We start from the raw sequence: 6,789 nt of genomic DNA, 5'->3' as shown, positions 1-6,789 counted from the left end.
CTGTTATCTCCTACTTTCTGCTTTGCAGAATCCACCAGCTCCCATAACTGCTAGTTTTTACCCAAATTCATTTCCCTCTCCCCATCAAAATAACCAGGAAGACACTCTTGCTCCTACTGGGACATCATATTCAGATGGCATTAAATAGCTGAGCCCAATTTCTAGGCATGATTCTTTAAGAAGAATTTGCATGTCTGACATTTAATAAGATGAATCCTCCTTGCACCAACCAGACCGGGCATAAAAACATACACAGTAATTTTTTGAGGTGTTTTTCTCCTTGAAGAAGGTAGCTGTCAAGGTGGGTGATGCTCTGGGCAGGAAGCAGTGTCTTTCACTAACGGGTTCTGACAGGTATATAGAAAATCCTGAAAGTACCTCTGAAGAGAGAATAGTTTCTTAAGCCTTTACCATGGAGAGTCTTAAGAGTTGTTTTATAGCAGTTAGCTGAGAGCAAGATACTGCAGGAGGTGGGCAGGTTTGGAGATGCCAGAGTGCAGAGAGACGGAGACAGAGAGAGAGACAGAGAGAGAGGAGAGAGGGAGGCAGAGACACAGAGAGAAAGAAACAGAGGGAGAGAAAGAAGGAGAGAGACAGAGACAGAGAGAGAAACAGACAAAGAGAGGGAGAGAAAAAGGAGAGGGATAGACAGAGAGATACAGAAAGAGACAGACAGAGAGAAAGAGAAACAGAGAGAGGGAGAGAAATAGAAATAGAGAGAAAGAGAGACAAAGAGAAAGGGAGAGACAGGGAGAGACAGAGAGAGACAGGTAAGAGATGAGAGTAAGAGACAGAGAGAGACATCGACAGAAAGAGAGAAAGAAAGAGAAAGAGAAGAGAGAAAGAGAAAGAGGAGAGACACACATATCAACAGAGACAGAGACAGAGAGAGAAACAGAGAGATAAAGAGAAGGAGAGAAAAAGGAGAGAGAGACAGAGAGAAACAGAGAGAGGGAGAGAAAGAGAGAGAGACGGAGAAAGGGAGAGAGAGACAAACAGAGAAAGAGACAGGGAGAGAGAGACAGATAAAGAGAAAGAGAGAGAGAGAGACAGAGAGAAAGGAGGCCACGAAGGCCAACTTTCTGCACATCATAATCAGCCCAGACATGGCTGTTTCCCTGAGAGCACGCATGTGTGAGGACTGTGCTTTCAGAGTTCATGTCCACAGCTCATTGCGGGGGCAGTTTCTCTGATCGTGTGGAGCTGGATGCCAGGAGCAGGACACACTGTGTTCTTTCCTGAGCATGAAGCCAGCTCTCGGAGTTGTTTTGTTGCACCTGCCATTAGGCGTTGATGATGTTCTTTCTTTCCTCCGGTAGGGTAAGAAGGAGAGGACGCAGTCCAAGTGGTTTCCCTTCTTAAAAAAACAAACAACAAACAACAAAACAAGAACACTAACATGGGACCAGGCACAGATGCAAATTCTCGTTTTGAACTTTGAACCCTGCCCAGGAAGCCCTTCTCATGCATCTTCAGTATCATATACATACATCTGGGCCAGGCACGGTGGCTCACACCTGTAATCCCAACACTTTGGGAGGCTGAGGCAGGTGGATCACTTGAGGTCAGGCGTTCCAGACCAGCCTGGCCAACAGGGTGAAAATACAGGCCTGGCTCAGTGCCTCATGCTTGTAATCCCAGCACTTTGGGAGGCCAAGGCGGGCAGATCACTTGAGGTCAGGAGTTTGAGACCAGCCTGGCCAACATAGCAAAAACCTGTCTCTACTAAAAGTACAAAAAAAAAAAAAAATTAGCTGGGCCTGGTGGTGCACACTTGTAATCCCAGCTACTCAGGAGACTGAGGCACGAGAATCACTTGAACCTGGGAGGCAGAAGTTGTAGTGAGCTGAAATTGAGCCACTGCACTCTAGCTTGGGTGACAAAGCCAAAAAAAAAAGAAAGAAAGAAAGAAAGAAAACATAGAGTTGAGGTTGAAAGCATCACATAATATCCAGAAGTCCAAGAAAAATGATGGATGTGTTTGTCTGCATAACATCTTTAATATGGAAAAAAACACAGATAAAATTTTAAAATAGGAAAATGAGAAAAAAATCTGCAACAGATATGAGAGACAATGGGTGGATTATCTTTTCTATACAAAGAGCATTTACAAAATAATAAGACAGACAAGAGAAACATGGGCAAAAGACATGAATAGGAAATTTACCAGTAAGATATGAGACTACATTCAATCTCCCTGAAAAGCAAAGAAATGCAAATAAATCAGAAGAGCATTTCCCACATCAGATTTGCCATGATGAATACTTTGGATAAAACACATTGTTGGCAAATATATGGTAAAATGAACAGTACCATAAAATATTGGTGATACTACACATTGTTATGCTTTTATAGGGTAGTTTGGCAATATCTATCCAAATATAATATATGCATATCATTATCACTTTTAGGAACTTATCCCTAGAAGATAATTCCACCATTATGCAAAGATGATTGTATAAGAATGTTCAGAGCAGTGTTGCTTGTAATAACTTAAAAAAAAAAAAGCAGTTTTTGCCAGGTGCAGTGGCTTATGCCTGTAATCCCCGCACTTTGGGAGCCTGAGGCAGGCGGATCACTTGAGGTCAGGAGTTCGAGACCAGCGTGGCCAATATGGCAAAACTCCGTCTCTATTAAAAATACAAAAATTAGCCAGGTGTCACTGCAGGTGCCTGTAGTCACAGCTACTCGGGAGGCTGAGGCAGGAGAATCACTTGAACCTGGGAGGTGGAGGTGGCAGTGAGCAGAGCACTCAGCATCGGTGACAGAGCAAGACTCCATCTCAAAAAAAAAAAAAAAAGGCCGGGCGTGGTGGCTCACGCCTGTAATCCCAGCACTTTGAGAGGCCGAGACGGGCGTATCACGAGGTCAGGAGGTCAAGACCATCCTGGCTAACGCGGTGAAACCCTGTTCTCTACTAAAAATACAAAAAAATTAGCCAGGCGTGGTGGGGGGCGCCTGTGGTCCCAGCTACTCGGGAGGCTGAGGCAGGAGAATGGCGTGAACCCGGGAGGCGGAGCTTGCAGTGAGCCGAGATCGCGCCACTGCACTCCAGCCTGGGCGACAGAGCAAGACTCTGTCTCAAAAAAAAAAAAAAAAAAAAAAAAAAAGCGTATTGTACTTACATTTTAAAAAGAAGCTATTTCAAAGAAAACTTTTTTAATTTTGAAAACTAAAAACAAAACATGTACTGGTTGAGATCAGTTTTCTGGAGAACCAGCCCACTCTCCAGAGGCCAGAGAGCTGTGATGCTTCCATAGCAGAAATGCCCAGTGAGTAACGAGGGCTAGTCTCAGGAAGCACACAGCCCCATCAGAATAAGCTGTATTCGCAGGAAATAAAAGGTGAATTGACTGAAGTGTAAAATGATTCAATTGGATTTTACTTTGTTTTTAAGAAGAGCATATCCATTGAGACCAGCCTGGGTGACAGAGCAGGACCCTGTGTCCAGAAAAAAAAAAAAAAAAAGCCAGGTATAGTGGCACATGCCTGTTGTCCCAGCTATTCAGGAGGCTGAGATGGGGGGACTGCTTGAGCCCAGGAGTTCAAGGCTGCAGTGAACGATGATTGCACTGTTGCACGCCAGCCTACTTGACATAGTAAGACTCTGTCTGGAAAAAAAAAAAAAAAAAGAAAAGCATATTCATAGAACGGAAATTGTTTGCACAGTCTTCATAGGGGATCCCCAAAAGTAAATAGTTGGTAGAGTTTAATCTGATATTTTCTGTATTATTTAGGGTGAGTTAACTGCTATAACAAACAATCTTGAAATATGCATGACTAAACACAACAGAATTAGTTCCCTCTCACATTGCTGTCCACTGGGAGTGAGGGGTGGGTCCCCACAAACTCATTCAAGGAGCCAGGCTTTCCAAAACTGGTTCCACTATGGGATCTCTGTGTCTCATCAATGGACAGGGAAGAGAGAGAGTGAGCCAGTGCAGAGGGCAGGAGTGGGAAGTCCAGGGGCCAGGCCTAGATATGATAGGCATCGCTTTTGCTTCCATCCCATTTGCCAGCACTGGTCACATGGCCCCACCTAGATGCAAGAACACCAAGAAATGTAGCCTTCCTGTGTGTCCAAGAGGAAGATGAACTGGTTTAGGAAACTGGTTCTGCTAATTGTTCACGGAAGAAAGTTCTTGAATCTGACAGATGCCCATATTTTAGTTACTCTCATATGGTTAAAAGTAAATCTTTAGCGTCACCATGCCTGGATAAAATATCCCTTAAGAAAATACTATCTCATGTTGCTCTAAGCAACTTTCTCTTTTCTTTTTTTCTTTCTTTCTTTCTCTCTTTCTTTCTTTCTTTCTTTCTTTCTTTCTTTCTTTCTTTCTTTTCTTTTTCTTTCTTCTTCCTTCCTTTTCTTCCTTTCTTGTTCTTTCTTTCTCTTTCTCTCTCTTTCTTTCTTTTCTTTCTCTTTCTTTCCTCTCTCTCTCTCTCCCCCCGCCCCACCCCCCCGCCTTCCTTCTTTTTTTTTTTTCTTCAAGCTCTCACTTTGTCACCCAGGCTGGAGTGCAGTGGCACGATCTTGGCTTACTGCAACCTCTGCCTCTTGGACTAAGGTGATCCTCCCACCTCAGCCTCCACAGTAGCTGGGATCACAGGTGTGAGCCACCACACCTGGCTAATTTTTAAAAAATAATTATTTGTAGAGACAAAGTCTCACTATATCGCCCAGGCTGATCTCAAGCTCCTGGGCTCAAGCAATCCTCCTGCCTCACCTCCCAAAGTGCTGGGATTACAGGTATGAGCCACCACGTCCAGATTTCTAAGCAACTGTTTTTTTTTGTTGTTGTTGTTTGTTTTTTGTTTTAGACAGAGTCTCGCTCTGTAGCCCAGGCTGGAGTGCAGTGGCATGATCTTGGCTCACTGCCACCTCTGCCTCCCAGGTTCAAGAGATTTTCCTACTTCAACCTCCAGAGTAGCTGGGATTACAGGCACACACCACTACGCCTGGTTAATGTTTGTATTTTTAGTTGAGATGGAGTTTCACCATGTGGGCCAGGCTGGTCTCAAACTTCTGGCCTCAAGTGACTGCCCACGTTGGCCTCCCAAGGGATTATAGGTGTGAGCCACCCTGCCCGGCCCTAAGCAACTTTCTAAAAAATAGTTTAGTGTCCTACGTATCCTGATATCCAGAAGAAGTCAGATGAGGCCAGAATCCCAGTGTTTAGAAAATAATTTGTTTCTTTCTCTCTCTCTCTACTGTTTCGGTAAATTCTCTTTCTGTTTTATGTATCTGTGAATTTTGAGTTTGAGTTCACTCTGTAGCATTTCTGGACCTGGAAGGCTAGAGTGGGACCTGAAGCTCGGTGGCCACAAGAACATTCTGTGGTCTCATGGGTCCCTTATGTTTCCATCCCTTGGCATCATCTCACTCAAACTGCAAACTGGAGCATCCAGTGGGGCTGGCTGGAGCACGTGCAGAAGGCAGAAGATCAAGTCCAGAAAATTAATTAAGGCTGGATCAGAACCAAAACCATGAGCCCATAATTTCAAAGCTGGAAAAGAGTCTGAAATGTATTTAATTAAATTAATTAATTAATTTATTTATTTATTTTGAGACGGAGTCTTGCTCTGTTTCCCAGGCTAGAGTGCAGTGGCTTGATCTCAGCTCACTGCAACCTCTGCCTCCCGGGTTCAAGCGATTCTTCGGCCTCAGCCTCCTGAATAGCTGGGATTACAGGCACGCACCACCATGCGCAGCTAATTTTTGTATTTTTAGTATAGACAGGGTTTTGCCCTATTGGCCAGGCTGGTCTCAAACTCCTGACCTCAGGTGATCCGCCCACCTCGGCCTCCCAAACTACTGGGATTACAGGGATGAACCACTGCCCCCGGCCCTGAAATGTATTTTAATATCAAAGTAAAGCAGAAATGGGGCTGGATACTTAGGCATCAACCTTTTTCTTTCGCTTTCTTTTTTTTTTTTCCTCCTAGATACAGGTTCTCATTCTATTGCCAGGCTGGCGTGCAGCTAAGAGCCCTGGTCTTCAAAGAAAGTTTTCCCTTAAGCAGAAACATGGACTCAGCATCTCCTGGTTAGACTATTAGCTGTCTCTTGGGCAGCAGCCCAATCACAGCTCACTGCAGCCTCCCACTCCTGGGATGAAGTGATCCTCCCACTTCAGCCTTGCAAAGCACTGGGATTCCAGGCATGGGCCACTGTGTCAGGCCCATCATTGCCCTTTTAAAGCAGGGGTGCTCATCTGCTAGGACTTACTCTGAGAATGCCAGAAAGCCTGACTTTGCAAAGAAAGGCAAACTTAGTTTACCAACTGCTGTAAGAGTAAGGAGGGCTGAGGAGCCAGCAACCTAGGGTGGAGTAGCTGATTTGGTTTGGCTGCGTCTCCACCTGAATCTCATCTTGAATTGTAGTTCCCATAATCCCCCCGGTGGGAGGTAATTGAATCATGCAGGTGGTTACCCCCGTGCTGTTCTCGTGATAGTGAGTTCTCAGGAGATCTGATGGTTTGAAAAGGGGCTTTCCTCCCCTTTTCTCTACACTTCTCCTTGCTGCAACCATATGAAGAAAGACGTGTTTGCTTCCCCTTCTGCCATGACTGTAAATTTCCTGAGGCCTCCCCAGCTATGCTGAACTGTGAGTCAATTAAACCTCTTTCCTTTATAAATGACCCAGTCTTGGATATGTCTTTATTAGCAGCGTGAGAATGAACTAATACAGTAGGGAACAGAAAAAGTACCTCTTCCCCTTATTCTAGGAACTTTCCAGTTTCACATCAAGATAAATCTAGCGCTCTTCACCTCTGAATGTGAATTTCT

At 44.6% G+C, this 6,789-nt stretch overlaps 1 non-coding gene across 1 annotated transcript; it reads left to right on the top strand.

Moving 5' to 3' along the window:
• The first annotated feature begins 1,137 nt into the window (after positions 1-1,137).
• Positions 1,138-1,350, top strand: LOC124902596 (small nucleolar RNA U3). The gene has a single exon (XR_007062425.1). It is a non-coding gene; the product is annotated as a small nucleolar RNA U3 (small nucleolar RNA).
• Positions 1,351-6,789: the final 5,439 nt, after the last annotated feature.

This window comes from Homo sapiens, chromosome 10 (assembly GCF_000001405.40).
Source record: "Homo sapiens chromosome 10, GRCh38.p14 Primary Assembly".
NCBI classification, from domain to species: Eukaryota; Metazoa; Chordata; class Mammalia; order Primates; family Hominidae; genus Homo; species Homo sapiens.
This window is presented reverse-complemented; position numbering and strand designations above follow the sequence as displayed.